The sequence below is a fragment of the Homo sapiens genome, chromosome 11 (assembly GCF_000001405.40).
Source record: "Homo sapiens chromosome 11, GRCh38.p14 Primary Assembly".
Classification (NCBI taxonomy): domain Eukaryota; kingdom Metazoa; phylum Chordata; class Mammalia; order Primates; family Hominidae; genus Homo; species Homo sapiens.
In genome coordinates, this window is record NC_000011.10 from 111,862,113 (window position 1) to 111,879,453 (window position 17,341).

The window sequence follows — 17,341 nt, forward strand, 5'->3', positions numbered from 1 at the left end:
ATTTCTAGAAAATTCTCAGCTATTAATACCCCGAATATTGCCTCTCCGCATTCTATCATCTCCTTCTACAATCTGATTAGATGTATGTCAGTTCTTTCAACTCTGGCTTACATGTTTCTTTTTTTTCTTTTTTTTTTTTTTTTTAGAGAGAGTCTCACTTGCCCAGGCTGGAGTGCAATGGGGTGATCTTGGCTCACTGCAATTTCCGTCTCTTGAGTTCAAGTGATTCTCGTGCCTCTACCACCCAAGTAGCTGGGGCTATAGGCATGTGCCACCACACCTGGCTAATTTTTGTATTTTTAGTAGAGATGAGGTTTCGCCATGTTGGCCAGGCTGGTTTCGAACTCCTGACCTCAAGTGATCCACCTGCCTCGGCCTCCCTAAGTGCTGGGATTACAGGCATAAAACACCGTGCCCAGCCGTGGCTTACACATTTCTTAACCTTTTCTATATTACCTTTTTTTTTTGGTCTGTCTGTACTGCATTTTGAGTAATTTATTTAAATCAATCTTCCAATTTACTAGTTTACTCATCAGAATGTCTAATCTGCTGTTTATCTACTGAGTCTTAAATATAAATATTATATACATATTATTCATATTATATAATATTACATATTATATGATTCTTATAAGTTCTGAATTTTTTAAATTTATTTGGTCATCTCTTGTTTCTTGTTCATGTTTTTGGTTCTTTTACTTGTTTGAAAATGTTAAATATACTTACATTATATTCCTATTTCCCAATAAATGAAGTTTTTCAGGTGAACGTTCTGTTGACTGTTATTTCTGCTGATTCTCACCCATAATGTTTTGCTCCCTCTGTGCTCTGATTTATTTTTATTATAATTTCTTGTTCACTAGAACTTTATCTCTGGTAATTTTCAGACACTTGGGTTAAGGGTCCATTTCTCTAGAGAAATTTTTTGCCAGATGCCACGGGCACTACCAACCCAGAACAATTTAAAATAAATTCTCGGCTGGGCCTGGTGGCTCACACCTGTAATCCCAGCACTTTGGGAGGCCGAGGCGGGCAGATCACGAAGTCAGGAGACCAAGACACGGTGAAACCCCATCTCTACTAAAGGTACAAAAAATTAGCCAGGCGTGGTGGTTTGCACCTGTAATCCCAGCTACTCAGGAGACTGAGATGGCAGAATTGCTTGAACCCGGGAGGCTGAGGTTGCAGTGAGCCGAAATCATGCCACTGCACTCCAGCCTGGGTGACAGTCTCAAAAATAAAATAAAATAAATAAAATATATTAAAGTAAATTCTCAGCTTAGGGCTTGAAGGACCACATAGGTGATCTGAATTCAGGCCCAAACCCATATAAAGACCAATTTACGGAATTTACGGTTACAATCCTCAAAGGCAGCACTAGCTTTACTTTTTTTCCCTCCACTCCACTCACAGTCAAGGCCAAACATTTTTTAAAATCTGACATTTTTAGCTGTGGGAAGATTTTAAATAATGATCACTAAGTCCAAATACCTTTAAATATATTACTAAAGCATTATTAAAACAAGACGTTTGTTAGTTATCATGTAAAAAAGGTGGCTATATTTATTACCGGGACACTTAAATGCTTAATAGTCCCAACTAATATTCAATCAACTAATAGGTACTTTGTGAAAGACAATATATTGGGTGCAAACAAGAGCAGTGATATCCCACACCGGGAGTAGTTTATTATCAACTAAGCTGTAGGGCAGAGGCAAATCATGATCCTGTATCTTAGGACCGAAAATAGGGTTCTACTAAATCCTATCAAGTAAAGACCAGTTAGATAGTTTTTAACAGAATTAAAATGAATGATATAAGGATATGGTATTTATGACCTCAGGAAAGAAAACGATAATTAGAAGTACAGTGTTCCCTTCAACTGTTGGTTTCAAACGAGAAGTCACACTTCAGATTTAATATCAGGAGCTACAGGTGATGGGTGCATCAAAATCTCAGAAATCACCACTAAAGAACTTATCCATGTAACCAAAACCCACCTGTACCCCAAAAACTATTGAAAAATAAAAATTAAAAAAAGAAAAAGAAGAGAACAATAAATAAAAGCAAGAAGTTTTCAGTCAGGCCCCGCTGACCCACGACCCACCAACCCACGAACTGGCCCGGCCCTCACGTGCACCATGTCTGGCTCCTCCAGCGTTGCCGCTATGAAGAAAGTGGTTCAACAGCCCCGGCTGGAGGCCAGGCTCAACTGCATAAAAGTTTCCCAGGCAGCTGCAGACTTCAAACAATTCTGTCTGCAGAATGTTCAACATGACCCTCTGCTGACTAGAGTATCTTCAAGTACAAATCCCTTCAGACCCCAGAAAATCTGTTCTTTTTTGTAGTAAAATGAATTTCAAAAGTTTCCCAAACCACTTCTTATGATCCAGTGGATATTCAAAAGAGAGCTAAATTTGAAGCCTGTACAAAAGCTTATCCCTGTAGCACATGTGCTGTAATATACGAACTTCTAGTTTCATCAGTCTTTAACATCTACCTCTCTGAATTTCATGAATTTCTATTTCACAAGGGTAACTGTTTTATCCACACTGGCAGCAGCATACAATAAAACTCAGTATGAAAAAAAAAGTTTTCTTTCCCAGAAAAAAAAATATGTATATGATATATATATCAGGAGCTAGGAGGAAAGTGTTTTCTACTTCTTTCTCTTTTTTTTTTGAGATGGAGTTTTGCTCTTATCGCCCAGGCTGGAGTGCAATGGCACAATCTCAGCTCACCACAACCTCCACCTCCCAAGTTCAAGTGACTCTCCTGCCTCAGCCTCCCGAGTAGCTGGGATTACAGGCATGCACCACCACAACCGGCTAATTTTGTATTTTTAGTAGAGATGGGGTTTCTCCATGTTGGTCAGGCTGGTCTCAAACTCTCTACCTCAGGTGATCTGCCCGCCTTGGCCTCCCAAAGTGCTGGGATTACAGGTGTGAGCCACCGCACCCGGTCAAGAGTTTTCTATTTCTAATCACTGCCTAGACTATCACAACAGATAATCTATGCAATAATGGGTTTCCTCACAGCACTTTTAGAAGCAAAGTTTTTATACTCACTTGTAAAAGTAAAGTTCACAAATACAGCTCACAAAAGCCAGAAGACATCGCAAAAAGTAAAACACAAGAATCTAAAAGAAACCCAGAAAAAGAAAACAGAAGTCACAGATATGAGCTAGAAAAACTCATAAACATGAACCACTCTCATTTATTGTCAATAACACTGTAAATTGGTATAATTCTTTTGAAAAGCAACATGGATCAAGAATTTTCATATCCCTTGACTCAATATCAGTATACCTACTTCTATCACTCCAGCTGGTGGGGGTTGGGAGGTAGAGCTCCATTCATGAAAATGTTAATTGCAGTTTTAGTAAAAACTGTTTCAAAAACTACAAAATATCCAATTATAGGGAAATGATTAAATAAACTAGGCTACATCTAGCTCATGGACAATTATACAGCTATTAAAATTTATGTTTACAAAGATAGTGAAAACATTCTTGCAATATAATGCTCATTCAACAAGCAATTCTTCAACAACCATAATATATCAGGTAGTGATTATGACAAAATATTAAGAGAAAATGTACAATATTATTTATACATCAGTTACAGCTATGGACACTATATGCATGTGGAAAGACTGGAAAGAAATGTAATAAAATGGTAAAAGTAGCTATAGCAACCTGGTAGATTTAGATGAGTATTTTTCCTCCTATCTTCCAAAGTTCTGTTATGTGGCTTTATTAATTTTATAATTGACATCAATTTAAAAAATAAAAATAATAAAATAGGGGTTATATTAAGTAGCTTTATACTACAGAATACCATATGGTTAAGAGCACTGAATTTCTCAGAACTTAAACACTACTTAATATATAGTATAACTGGCCGGGCATGGTGGCTCACACTTGTAATTCCAACACTTTGGGAGGCCGAGGCAGGCGGATCACTTGAGGTCAGGAGTTCGAGACCAGCCTGGCCAACATGGTGAAACCCCATCTCTACTAAAAATACAAAAAAATTAGCCAGGCATGGTGGCGGGCAACTGTAACCCCAGCTACTCGGGAGGCTGAGGCAAGGGAATTACTTGAACCTGGGAGTCGGAGGTTGCAGTGAGCCGAGATCGTGCCACTGCACTCCAGCCTGGCGACAGAGTGAGACTCCATCTCAAAAACAAACAAAAAAAATGGGCCTACTTGTGGGATCTCACTCCTGAGTGTACACTTCAGAGAAATTCACGAACAGGTCCATGAAGAGATAATACAAAGGTGCTTTCATTTGGGGTAGCAAGAGATTGAGAAGGTAGCTATCACTAGATGTGCCAATTGTTACCACCCTGTCTCTCAGAAACAACCATCCTTCTCTACTCAACGTTATGATGCTGGGGCTAAGACTCTCTAAGCTACAATTCCCCTTTGCTGAATGGCTAGGAAAAAGGAGATCAGAAGTAAGAACAAGAGAAGAAGAGAAATCTTGCTTTCCATTTCACTTGCTGTGCACATCAGTGATGTAACAGGATTAGAGAAGAGGAAGAATTCTGTGTTGAACATGTAAAATTTGAAGTGATACTAGATAGCCAAATGGAAATAAAAACCCTCTGCATAGCACATTGTTAGTTTTCTGCTGAGCCCTTCACCCTTTATTATCTTTCCTTTGACAAGTTCAAAAAAAAAAACCAGAAATGAGGCCAGGTGCAGTGGCTCACGCCCGTAATCCCAGCACTTTGGAGGCCAAGGCAGGTGGATCACTTGAGGTCAGGAGTTTGAGACCAGACTGGCCAACATGGTGAAACCCTGTCTCTACTAAAAATACAAAAAAATTAGCCACACGTGGGGGCTCAAGCTTGTAATCCCAGCCACTCAGGAGGCTGAGGCAGGAGAATCACTTGAATCCGGGAAACGGAGGTTGCTGTGAGCCGAGATCACATCACTGCACTCCAGCCTGGGCGACAGAGTGAGACTTCGTCTCAAAAACAAACCAAACAAACAAACAAACAAAAAAATGGAAATGAGATACCGGATAGGGAAGGGAGGGACAGTATTTTGTCACTTTCTGCAGGTGCCACCTTTCTGATCATTCTAAAATGTAAATGCAATCATACCTCTCTTTTGTCTGAAAACCTTGCAGTGGCTTTACATAACAGACTTGGGGGGAAAAGAACAACAGTCTAATACCTTAATAGATCCTACCAGGTCTTGTAGAAATCTCAAACTGAATGAAAACAGTCCATCGATAGATTCCAACACCAAGATGACAGAGGTGTCAGAATTATCTAACAAAATTTAAAGCGGGCTTTGTAAAAATATTTCAGTGAATAACTAAGAATATGCTTGAAGCAAATGAAAAAGGAGAAGGTCTCAGTAAAAAAAATTAGAAGATATAAAGAAAAACTGAATGGAAATTTTAAAACTGAAAAAGTACATAGAACAAACTAAAAATGCAATGGACGGGGTCAGCATTGGAAGAGGGGACATAGGAAAGAATCAGTGAAGTGGAAGACAGAAGAAAAGAAATTACTCAATGTGAACAACAGTTCATTCAGTTTGAGATCTTCCTGATTCTCGGTATGACAGGTCATTTTCAGTTGAAAGCTGGACATTTTAGGTATTGCATTATGAGATTCTGGATTATTCATGGGCTCAGCATGCTTTCTTTGCACTGTTGTGCTCCTACGATCTTATTTAAGCTTTCTGTTTTAGCTGGCTTCTTTTGATACTACTTCCCACTAACCCAGCAGGGAAAGAGCGTTAGTGGGAAGTCTCTACCTTGTTACCGCCAAGTGGAGGTAGAACTCGAGGTTCCCTACCAGGCCTCCACTGACCATTGAGAGAAAATAAATTGAAAACAGAGTCTCAAAGACCTGGGGGACTAATAACAAAAGATCTGACATTCACATCATCAAAGTTCCAGAAGAAGAGGAAACCGGACAGGGCTGAAAAAGTATTCAAAAAAATAAAAACTAAAACCTTTCCAAATTTGGCAAAAGGAATAAGCCCAAAGATTCAAGAAGCTGAATAAACTCCAAACAGGACAAACCCAAAGAAATCCACACCAAGACGCATCATAGTCAAATTTCTGAAAACTAATCAGGTTAGGTCCCAGTTAACATCTAATTATTTCTCAGCACTCTACTTAAATTAGACCCTCCTAATATGCTATTCCACCGTACATTGTACTTTTCCTCCATAAGACCCACCATATTTAGAATGATTTGTTCAATGTTCATCTTCTCCACTAAACCACAAGTTTCATTAAGTCAGGGGCTTGGTTACTGTTATAGCCACAGCACTTAATACAGTGTCTACCAAATAAAAGTTGTTTCATTAATGCTTGTTGAATGGTGAATTGGATAAATGATTCTTCTTCAAAAAAAGTTCCCTTTTAACTTCCAATTCATTTTGTCCTTTTCTCAAAACTATACCAGAGACTCACCTCTTGATCAATTGTGATTGCTTCCAGGTTGGTCTGCCCTTACCTTATTAGTTTGTAGAATTCTTGCATGAAATGCAGCTGGCCAGGCATGAAGCAACAGGTAAGCATAGGAGCGAATGGCATATGCTGGGGAATATTCCCAAGTCTGAAACCCTTCCCCATAGATGAGGTAGTGTGTCTAAAAATACAAAACAGATAGATTCAGGGTTATACTGGCCAAAAATCTCTGTTAAGCAGATGCAAGTGAAGTTTCTGAGCAGAAATATTAAAAACAAAGGCAAGCCAGGCACGATGCCTCACACCTATAATCCCAGCACTTTGGGAGGGCAAGGCAAGCAGGCTGCTTGAGCCCAGTAGTTAAAGACAAGCCTGGGCAACATAGCAAAACCCCATCTCTACCAAAAAAAAAAAAAAGTAGCATGGTATGGTGGTGCATGCCTGCAGTCCCAGCTACTTGGAAGGCTAAGCCAGGAGAATCACTTGAGCCTGGGAATTAGAGGTTGCAGTGAACCTAGATCATGCCACTGCACTCCAGCCTGGGCGATCTGCAATTGATGGATAAAAAAGGAATCAAAATGATACAATATTTAAAATATTAAGACATTATAAATTTTACAAGATTGCTGTTTGGTCAACACTGAAAGCTTAAATTTTACCTTCTACTTATTTTTTCTCAATACTTGTTAGCCAAAACAGAAAACCTCTAAATTTTATATTCTCCTTAAACAACCTACACTTAACAGTCTTCCTTCATTTTTTTAATTCAAAATGTGATCAGAAAATTTTACCTTTGAATTTTCTATAATAAAAGTCAACAGGTAATGTGTAAATCAATAAATAGCAATAAAAGTATACTATTTAGTAACACTATTTTGGTAACCGTCAGAAGAAATAACTTAAAAAGTGAAAAAAAGTGGTTGCTTCTGGAAAGTAGGATTTGGACACGAGAAGTGGAATAGAAAGCTACTGTTTTTCCTTTAGGTATTTTAGTAGTTGTTAACTTTAAAAACTATCTCCAGGTATTATTTTCATTTAAAAAAAAAAAGAAAATTACAAATTACACCTTTGTGTAAACCAGCTAAATTCCCTACAGCCTTCAATAGCAGGTAAATCATCCGCTTAGAATACAAAAGTGAAAACATGTTACTGGCCAGGCCCAGTGGCTCACGCCTGTAATCCCAACACTTTGGAAGGCGAGGTGAGAGGATCGCTTGAGCCTAGGAGTTAAATACCAGCCTCGGTGACATAATGAGCCCCCATCTCTGTTTTTTGAGACAGAGTCTCGCTCTGTTGCCCAGGCTGGAGTGCAATGGTGTGATCTCGGCTCACTGTAAACTCTGCCTCCCATGATCAAGCATTTCTCCTGCCTCAGCCTCCCGAGTAGCTGGGACTACAGGCGCCCACCACCATGCCCGGCTAATTTTTGTATTTTTAGTAGAGTCGGGGTTTCACCATGTTGGTCAGGCTGGTCTCGAATTTCTGACCTCAGGCAATTCACCGGCCTCAGCCTCCCAAAGTGCTGGGATTATAGGCCTGTTTTTTTGTTTTTTTTTTTAAGAAAATACAGTTATTTTACTAGGAGTCACACTTGTATATTATTTGTCTCTCGATTGGTAATAACACCTATGCTGCAAAATCAAGAACAAAAAGAGAAAACTAAAGAAATCACCTACTGGCTCCCAGTAGTTGAATGTTTCATCACAGTCAGAGATGTTGCTCAGGAGAGCAGCACATAACCTTGCTGAAAGCAGACACTTGAAAGCAGTAGATCCTTCAGGTGCCCAGACTTGTCCTGCTTTGTTCCCAGATAACCTGTTCAAAAGCAAAAAAAAAAAAAAAAAAAAAAGCATGTCAGGAAGGACCTGCTAATCAGAAGACCTAAATCTAGATAGAAAGGACAAAAAGGGCAAGGGACATCAAAGCACTTAAGTTATTCACCTAAAAAGGTGAATAGCTAGTTGTTTTTTCTCAGTAAAATTAATAAAAATTCAGATTTTTAAGAAAAAATTTTTATGAGATAGGGTCTTGCTATGTTGCCCAGGCTGGACTTAAACTCCTAGGCTCAAGTAATCCTCCTGCCTCAGCCTTCTGAAGAATTGACTTTAATCACTCAATCACTCCTTCCACTTCCTGCTTTTAAGGCATAAATTAACTCATACACTTTAGCTCAATGCATTTATGTCACTCCATTTATCCCAAGCCAACTAATCACTCACTTGAAGGCCACAAAGCTGTCATTCTCCTTTTCTTTCTTTTCTTAACAAGGTCATTGCTTTTGATGGCTTTATTCATTCCCCCTTATGTTCAGATAGAAGCCTAGGTGCAAGGTACATAGCCTACTCCAATTCCATATGTTGACAGCTCCCTTAATGCAGTTCTAACCTGCAGCCTCCAGGGTTTGGGAAGAGGTGATGGCGGGTTGGATGGGCCCAGTAAAGGGTCGGGACTTGAGGGAGAATAAAAGGAGCTGTGAGGAACAGCCGTAAAAGGTATACTCTTTGATCCTGTCTACATCTCCCACAGAGGCTGTGCCCACTCTAGGCCTGGCCCAGGAGCATCACAGATCCGCACTCCAAGGCAGTTTTACAGCGCAGTGGAGGGATCTAAGGTGGGCGAAGACTGAATGCTGACCCGCCCAGGAAGACCAATAGGACCTAGCTGAAGAGGGAGCTCGGGCCTCCCGCGGTGAGGCCAGGCCGGACTGAGCCCCGCGCGCCACAGCTAAGACCCTCCCGGGGGCAGCCCCGAACCGCCCCGCCGGCCGGCCACGCCCCTGCCGCGCCGCACACGTACTCGGTCCGGTGCTCCGCGCCGCCCGCCTCTCGGCTGCCCAGCAGCTCCCGCAGCTTGTCCGCAGCCGGGGCCGTATCCCCACTGCTGGCCCCGCTGCCCTTCAGGCGCTGCCGAGCCCCTCGACTAGCCATGGCAAGCCTGGGGAAAAAAGAATTCGGCACCCTATGAAGTCGGTGAGCGCGCAGACATAGCTTTGGCTGGCAAACGGTGTCCGCCGAGGGACAAAAGACCTTGACATGCGCAGAAAATACTAAATTATAGCGTTACTGGGCCAATTGGGGCAGATCCCCGAGTAGCGAAGAAATAGAACCTGAGGAGTTTCTTCATCAGGGCTGTCCCATCCACCTGCTTCTAACTCTAGCCATTCCTACCTCCCTCCAACCCTCTTTTCCGTCACTTTTCAGCATTCTCCATTCTCAAAAAAAAAAAAAACCACCTCTCAGCTCCCCTATTTAAATGAAAAAACAAATAGAAAGTGATTAAAGAAATCTACATAGTGAGATGTGAAGTATTCAGTTAAATATCACAGCACAGCTATCTACTAAAAGGTCCTTAAAATGTCATTTTTAACACCTTGCCTTCTCTGTATTTTGGTAAGAGTGACAGAGGCAGCCTGTAGCTAAAAACTGCTTCAGAGAGACAAACCGGTAATGGCAGAGTGTAGACTGATGAAATTCTGTGCGGCAAATTGAACCAGATGTCCATCACTGTCATCGCTACTACGGCATTGTGGTAGGCATTTTACATATTTTATCCTTTTTAAACTTAATACAACAACCTTGTTTTATTTACCAGGAAACTAAATAAACTTGGAGCTAGTAAATGGTGGAGCTATGTTCCAGCCCAGGACTATCTTACCGGAAAGCCCATGCTCTCTCTTCCCACCAGATCTGGTGAAAGGTCTTCATTTCCTACAATCATTTTTATACTGGCACATTGATGATATCATACCTGTGACCCCCATATCTTGGGGGTCATTCATCTAATCCTGACACTCTATCCACTCCTCTAATCACAGAGCTATATCCTACCCTGTCGAGCTCCATGCCAGTAACTGGGACAAGTTTATAGAGGGAATGCTAATCTCTTGACAAGGTCTCAGAAGGTTGTGATTTCCTACTAAAAATTCCCAAGTATTGAAAATGGAGATTGATCATATTGCTCAATTCTCACATGCAGTCATTAGTTACCAAGTTCAAATATCCAGCTTAACTCTTTTTTTCTTTTCTTTTTCTTCTTTTTTTTTTTTTTTTTTTGAGACAAGAGTCTTCCTTGCTCACCCAGGCTAGAGTGCAGTGGCACAATCTCAGCTTACTGCAACCTCTGCCCCCTAGGTTCAAGAGATTGTCTTGCCTCAGCCTCCCTAGTAGCAGGGACTATTGCCACCACACTGGCTAATTTTTGTATTTTTAGTAGAGATTAGGTTTCGTCATGTTGGCCAGGCTGGTCTGGAACTCCTGGCCTCAAGTGATCCACTTACCTCAGCCTCCCAGAATGCTGGGATTATAGGCGTGAGCCACTACACCCAGCCTAACTGTATCTCATATACCCATCTCCTCCTTTTCATTTAAGTCTAATGCAGGTCCCTCCCTGTCTACGTAGGACTAACACAATAGCATCTCCACAGGGATCACTCATCTCAAATTCATCCTGTGCAACATTAACCAGTTAATTTTCCAAAGCACTACTCTGGGGCACTTCCTTAATAAAAAACCACCGGATGTTTTCCTATTGCCTACCAAATAAAGTACAAACTCCTTATTCTAGCATTTGGTATTCATGAACTCCAGCCCCAACTTACCGTTCCAATCTTATCTCCCACTACTTTCCTATGCACACTTTACATCCCAGCTAACTAGCCTAGAAAGTGCCCCCAAATGCTCCCTTATCTATATCTCTGTTTATGGATGTCCTCTGCCCAAAATGCACACCCTACTTGCCTAACAATTCTCCCTTCACATTCCTGCCCTTGTTTTAAGATCCAGCTTTCAAACGCTACCTTATACATGTACCAAGCACTACTGAGGATAGAAGAAAGGGATAAATCACATTACCTGCCATCAGTTAGCAAAATAGTCAATGTGGAGAGCTCAGCAATAGATGTGTCTGTAAGAGATCCCTTGATTCTTTATCCCACTCCCCAAACTTACTCGTATGGCAGTGTTTCCATCCAAGTTAATGACACTTCCAATCTTCTAGGTATTCAGGTCAAAAACCTAGTAGTCTTGCTTAATTCCTTTATTTCTCTAACCCCACACCTCTCTCACCCACACACAAATGTTTAATTCATCAGCAAGTCCTTCCAAATATTATCCAACCCAACATTTTACCACCTTGGTCCAGGTCATTATCTCATTTGCATTACTGCAATAACCTCCTAATTTGTCTCTGTACTTCCATTCTTGCCTTCCCAAGTGCTTTTCTCTAAGAATAAATAAGACAGTCATGTCTCTCACAGAATATAATCCCAAATGTGGAGCCTAACTATTAACAGGAGCATACATTACTTCACATTAGAGTACCGCATTCTGCAGAATCCTAAGCTAATTTTCCAGTGTCCCTTAGAGATACTTACAACAGAAGGCCCCAAAATCCAGAGAGGCAAAGTTTAATCACAGTTGAACGATTACTGTTAAAGACTAGGGAAGAAGTAACAGAAAGTAGCAGAAAGAACATGGGCTTTAGAGTCAAACAGACCCAAATGTTAACCCTAAATCTGACACTTTATTCGTTCCATGACTTTCAACCACAGAATTAAAATGGTGATGATTATAATAATAATACCAAAATTAATGTGGAATATTTGCAATTTCCCAAGCTAATAAATGTTAGTCTGATGCCAAAAACTACTCTCATAAGGTGATTTAATGAAATGATACAACAAAGTTAAGGGAAGAGTAATTGACAGTGTGGAAAACATATTTATATTTGATGAGACACTTAAGTTCTACTGCCTGTTCAACAATAGAGCATCTAAAGTACAAGATGCTGTTTTGTTTATTGTTTTAGTCACTTCTCGGGACCAAAATATTACACAACTCCAAATGTCACCAATCACATTATAATCTATAAGTTTCAGTAATAGAGTCAAGGTATCTTTAAGATCAACTAACAGTAGGCCGGGCGCGGTGGCTCACATCTATAATCCCAGCACTTTGGGAGGCCGACGCAGGCAGATCACGAGGCCGGGAGATTGAGACCATCCTGGCTAACACGGTGAAACCTCGTCTCTACTAAAAATACAAAAAAAAAAATTAGCCAGGCGTGGTGGCAGGTGCCTGTAGTCCCAGCTACTCGGGAGGCTGAGGCAGGAGAATGGCATGAACCTGGGAGGTGGAGCTTATAGTGAGCTGATATCATGCCACTGCCACTGCACTCCCGCCTGGGCGGCAGAGCAAGACTCCGTCTCAAAAAAAAAAAAAAAAAAAGATCAACGAACAGTAGCTATGGTCACAAAGTAAAAGATTTTACAAAAACAAAAATCCAGAAAGGACTACTGGTTGCAAGTTGGTAATTTTCCTCCACATCCCCCGCAATGAAGGATCACACTGCAGAAAAGGATTTACCAAACTACCGAGGTATAACATATAGGTGTTGTTGAATCTCCTTCCTAAACTGGGACTGCATTGATGCTACTTGCTGCTGGGTGAGGGCCTTGTCACAGGTCTGGTAGGTCAATCTATAGCAGAGACTGACCTGTTGAGTCTTTGGATGCTGGAAACGGCTAAGAAACTGTATGGATATAATAGTGTCCTGAGACACTGCTCGGGCCACAGTGTGAAACTCTAGTTCATCAAATCCTTTCTTCTGATCTATCCAAAAACTAACATCATGCACATAACATGGAGGATACAGAGAATGACTTTTAAAGGGTTCTATTTTGCCAGGGACAAAATTTTTCAGGAAACGGTTATCAAACGTCCACAACATTCTCCAGTCAGAGATACACCAGACAAGCATGGCTAATAAGTCCAAGTTCATAGACACAAACACAAAACACTGGTCTTTATGTATAACACTAGTGGCAGATGTGATAACAGACCCAATAATTAGATCCTCAGTACAATCTGGGCTAAAATTATGAGTCTTCACACGAATCATATAATCCTTTCCATTTGACTGAAGGACAAATTTGACTAAACTGCTCAGCTTAGAGCTCTCCGGCAATGTCTGGGTCAGCAGGCTATCTAGAATGCCCTTCAGATGATCCAGCAGTGATTGAAGACAGCCATCCTTCAGATTTTGATTAACCCCAAGGATAAATAAAGTTTCATGAAATGCTGGCATTGTGAAAGGCAAAATGTGGCACTTCTGAAAGACAGGTCCACTGAGGATGTGCAGAGAACCTGAGAGGAAGTCTGGTACTTCGATGACATCCTGAACATGCACTAGGAGAGAAGGTCTAAGGCAGATCTTGGCCTGGCCACAGGTTCCTTCACAAGCTTCTTCTTTACCATCTCTTCCAGGATTCTTGAGAAGGCTAAGTTCTGAAAATGACACTAGAAAGTCTTCCACATCTTGTGATGTCCCACCAGTCAGGGACTCAGAATTTGAGTTATCTTCATGGAGACTAATCCAAAAAGCAGCTGACAGAAAGTCACAATTCCAGAAAGGAAGAACACTGGTACCTTCCTGTGGCAGCAAAGGGTAGGAACACTTCAGCCTTTTTAGCGGGAAAACTTTGCCTAATTCAGCAATGAGTTTCTCATTTATGGTTTTGATAGGATGACATGAAGGTGCTTCCAGGAAACCCCTGTTTAAACACACACAAAAATAACTTTTCTAACTTAAGATAGTAAATAATTATAATGTAGCTAGAATTAAAAATACAAATAGCTGGACAGAAAAGAATTATCTTTAAATTGATCTTGAAAGGAAACAAAGAAATCATCTACCATAAGGAGAAACAGACGTGTATTTCAGAACTCTGACAGCCACCATCCCTACAATATATCAGAAAATGTGACCATTTATAATTCTAGAGATGCTTAAGGAGGCCAGGCTGACAAATAAACATAGCACCAACATCACTAACAATTTATGCACCATCCATTCAATATATGGTTGCCATCAAGACAATCAGGATACAACTGGAGATGGAAGTGATTTCCAGCAAAATAACTGGTTACCTGTTCAACTTTCCTACAAGTGCTTCTGGTTCTGGAAAGGAAAACCACTGGTTACCCAGTTTGATCCTGAAGATTCTGGGTTGAGAACCTTCAAAAGGTAAGCTCCTGGTGAAGATATGGTTCAAAGCACCTTCTACATGAAAGGACTTATCTTGACTCCTGGCAAAATAGACACCAATATGAAGTCTGTCATTATTAAAATAAGCAAGTATTTTTAGAGACCGAATCAATTAATTGGCAGGGCCTATTGAGTCTGTCTATGAGATTTTGTTATCATTAGTGAGAGAGATGAAAACGCAGAAGGCTTAAACCTATGCTATTACCTACCTATATCCAGTGCACTTGTACCCTGCCACAGCCTTACAGCTGAATGGATACACGTCGCTTAAAATGAGCCCCCCCAGGGCTGCCATGGCAACCACTTGCCAACTGTTGTGCCATTCTCTCTGGGGCTTATCCGCAGGAGTTCCACCTTGTCCTCTACATAATGCCACGTGGACTTCTCCTTCCTCTGCAAGAACGTCTGCACAGCTAATAGGGAGAAAAGAAACACTAACTAATTATCATAAACAAGCAGAAATTACCACAGGAGTTGGCAACATACACATGGTTTGCCTGTGAAATAATTAAAATCCAATCATACCTATGTGCAAAAATCTATTAGACCTCAAAAAATGCAAAGAAAGTAGCTGGAAGTAAATAGAAGCATAAATTAAATGTTCAACCCACTCACTGATAAGATTGGCTGACCAGGGTCTGCTTTGCATTTGTGTCATTCATGCATATGTCACAGAAAGATCAATATCTGCACAGTTCCTATATATGATTCATTGCTTAGGCTGTTTCTTCCCATTTAGAAAGTTCTTTTCACTGCCCTCCTGAAATTCAAATACTAGTTTAAAATACCACCTCTGTCAAAACTTTATTGACAGCTATGCCCCATCGGACACCTCCAATAGTATCATGTCTTGTGGTATAATCATGTAAAGCACTGTTTTCAGTTCACAATAATTTTATGAGGCTGTTAGTTACTTTTTTTTTTTTTTTTTTTTTTGAGATGGAGTCTTGCTCTGTCGCCCAGGCTGGAGTGCAGTGGCACGATCTCAGCTCACTGCAACCTCCACCTCCCAAGTTCAAGCGATTCTCCTGCCTCAGCCTCCCAAGTACCTGGGACTACAGGCACGTGCCAGCACGGCCAGCTAATTTTTATATTTTTAGTAGAGGCGGGGTTTTGCCACTTTGGCCAGGCTGGTCTCAAACTCCTGACCTCAGGTGATCTGCTCACCTCGGCCTCCCAAACTGCTGGGATTACAGGCATGAGCCACCACGCCTGGCCCAGTTAGTTACTATTAATATCCCTAGTTTACAGTTGAGGAAACGGAAGCATGTAAAGATTAAGTAAGCTTGCTTAAAATAACAACTGTTGGCCGGGCGTGGTGGCTCATGCCTGTAATCCCAGCACTTTAGGAGGCCAAGGCAGGCGGATCACAAGGTCAGGAGATCGACACCATCCTGGCTAACACGGTGAAACCCCATCTCTACTAAAAATACAAAAAATTAGCTGGGCGTGGTGGCGGGCGCCTGTACTCCCAGCTACTTGGGAGGCTGAGGCAGGAGAATGGCGTGAACCCAGTAGGCGGAGCTTGCAGTGAGCCGAGATTGCACCACACCACTGCACTCCAGCCTGGGCGACAGGGCGAGACTCTGTCTCAAAAAATAAAAATAAATAAAAATAAAAAAATAACAACTGTTAAGTGGTGGGCTGGGATTTGAATCCAGGCAGTCTGGCTTCTAAGTGCACGTTCTTAGCCATTAGACTATATGGCTCTCATTATTTTGCACTGTCAAAAATAAATGATCCTCTTTTACACACCCAAGAGTACATTATTTGTACTTTCATTTAGCATTTAGGGTTTATATATCTGTCTTTCCAACTAAACTTGGGGTTCCTTTGGGGCTTTATAGTCTCTTCTAAACATATCATAGTAGCTTGCACGTGTGCCTTATGTTTGGGTACAGTAACTATGTTATGGACATCTTAAACATTTTCCTTGTGAGGGCGCTCCTTTCCTCACCTTTGGAAAAATTTGGCAAGCAGTTCCCTGTTCTTAGCTACGCCAGCTTTGCGTCCACAATGCGGGAAGATGAAATAAATTTGATCAAATTCTCTCTCGTGCAGTTCAAAGACATCTGCCAGCTGGGTGCAGTCCACACCGAAACGTACATCGATACCTGGCAAAGATAGTTTGGGGGCGCAAAATATAGACAGGAGGATGCCTCAAGACATGGAACAGAAAAACTCTTCCTAACTTAAACCGTGCAGACCAGCCCAAGTCTGGGCACAAAGCCGGCTTTATGTGAATATCCGTGGGACGATCAAGAACAATCTCCACGTGGGTTACATCCCCACGCCCCCACCCTTTCCACTTTGGGACGCGCCGGCCGCTGGGCGGGGTTTCGCAGAGGGGCGGGCTCGCTACCTCGCTCGCGCAGGCACTGCAGATTCTCCCAGGCCAGTGGATCCCGAGCCAACTCGGCCGGGCGCTGGAGGCAGGTGGCGGTAAGTTGAGTGCTCTGATCCAGGGTTTCGCTCAGAGCGGCGGCGAAGGAGAAATTCCCCTCCCCAACCAACAGGAGGCGCCGAGGGGCCATGGCCTCCACGGACTCCCGGCTCGCGTTCTCTGTGGCGCTCGTTTTACGTCACTTCCTTCACGGATCTCTCTCCGCCCCGTCTTCTCCCGTCACTAGTTGATGACGCACCCATGGCGCCTGGTTGTCTAGACGAGCCGGTGTACCGACTCCCCGGTGGATGATAACTATGAGTGCAAAAGCAAGACGCGCACTTTCCTGTCACCTCGCCCTTTCACCCCCTCGGGAAGATCAAAGTGTCTTTAGCCCAAGCATGGCCTTGAGCGACTTCATCACACCTGCATGAGGTCACAAGCAGTCACTAGCGCAGGGGGGTGAGGCGAG

The 17,341-nt window shown here is 41.9% G+C and overlaps 2 protein-coding genes and 1 pseudogene across 32 annotated transcripts in view, besides 3 other annotated features; 1 reads left to right on the top strand and 2 right to left on the bottom strand.

Moving 5' to 3' along the window:
• Positions 1-9,469, bottom strand: part of ALG9 (ALG9 alpha-1,2-mannosyltransferase) — a 103,557-nt gene extending 94,088 nt beyond the window's left edge. For 12 of the 30 annotated variants that reach the window (XR_001747968.3, XR_001747967.3, XR_007062503.1 and 9 more), the window contains exons 1-4: positions 9,240-9,469; positions 8,120-8,258; positions 6,490-6,624; positions 3,069-3,139 (exon numbers count right to left, since the gene is read on the bottom strand). Coding sequence is in view for 9 of the 30 variants with exons in the window: in NM_001352418.1 (NP_001339347.1) it covers positions 3,069-3,139; positions 6,490-6,624; positions 8,120-8,258; positions 9,240-9,370 (476 nt within the window). In the remaining 21 variants the exon portion in view is untranslated. Of the gene's footprint in view, positions 1-3,068; positions 3,140-6,489; positions 6,625-8,115; positions 8,259-8,662; positions 9,190-9,239 lie in introns of those variants that run through there. The other 18 variants (NR_147984.2, NM_001077692.2, NM_001352420.2 and 15 more) reach the window with 8 other exon arrangements.
• On the top strand, positions 2,081-2,586 carry GNG5P3 (G protein subunit gamma 5 pseudogene 3; annotated as a pseudogene).
• Positions 9,105-9,414: a silencer, noted in NCBI's record as "silent region_3902". NCBI's record gives its function as "represses an Ori minimal core promoter by ATAC-STARR-seq in GM12878 lymphoblastoid cells {active_cell/tissue: GM12878}" and the evidence as "EXISTENCE:reporter gene assay evidence [ECO:0000049][PMID:35858748]".
• FDXACB1 (ferredoxin-fold anticodon binding domain containing 1) lies at positions 11,944-17,053 on the bottom strand. 2 transcript variants are annotated; one of them, NM_138378.3, is made up of 5 exons: positions 16,849-17,053; positions 16,444-16,600; positions 14,696-14,899; positions 14,369-14,527; positions 11,944-13,992 (listed from the first exon to the last, which is right to left on the bottom strand). In NM_138378.3, the coding sequence occupies exons 1-5, from the start codon at positions 17,018-17,020 to the stop codon at positions 12,810-12,812; spliced, it is 1,875 nt and encodes a 624-aa protein (NP_612387.1). In that variant the 5' UTR covers positions 17,021-17,053; the 3' UTR covers positions 11,944-12,809. The 2 variants fall into 2 exon arrangements, 1 of the variants encoding a protein (NP_612387.1); NR_038364.2 differs by lacking the exon at positions 16,444-16,600.
• Positions 16,721-17,340: an enhancer, noted in NCBI's record as "H3K27ac hESC enhancer chr11:111749557-111750176 (GRCh37/hg19 assembly coordinates)". NCBI's record gives its function as "activates a minimal SCP1, AML or CMV promoter by ChIP-STARR-seq in primed H9 embryonic stem cells {active_cell/tissue: H9 hESC(primed)}" and the evidence as "EXISTENCE:reporter gene assay evidence [ECO:0000049][PMID:30033119]".
• Positions 16,837-17,306: an enhancer, noted in NCBI's record as "active region_5522". NCBI's record gives its function as "activates an Ori minimal core promoter by ATAC-STARR-seq in GM12878 lymphoblastoid cells {active_cell/tissue: GM12878}" and the evidence as "EXISTENCE:reporter gene assay evidence [ECO:0000049][PMID:35858748]".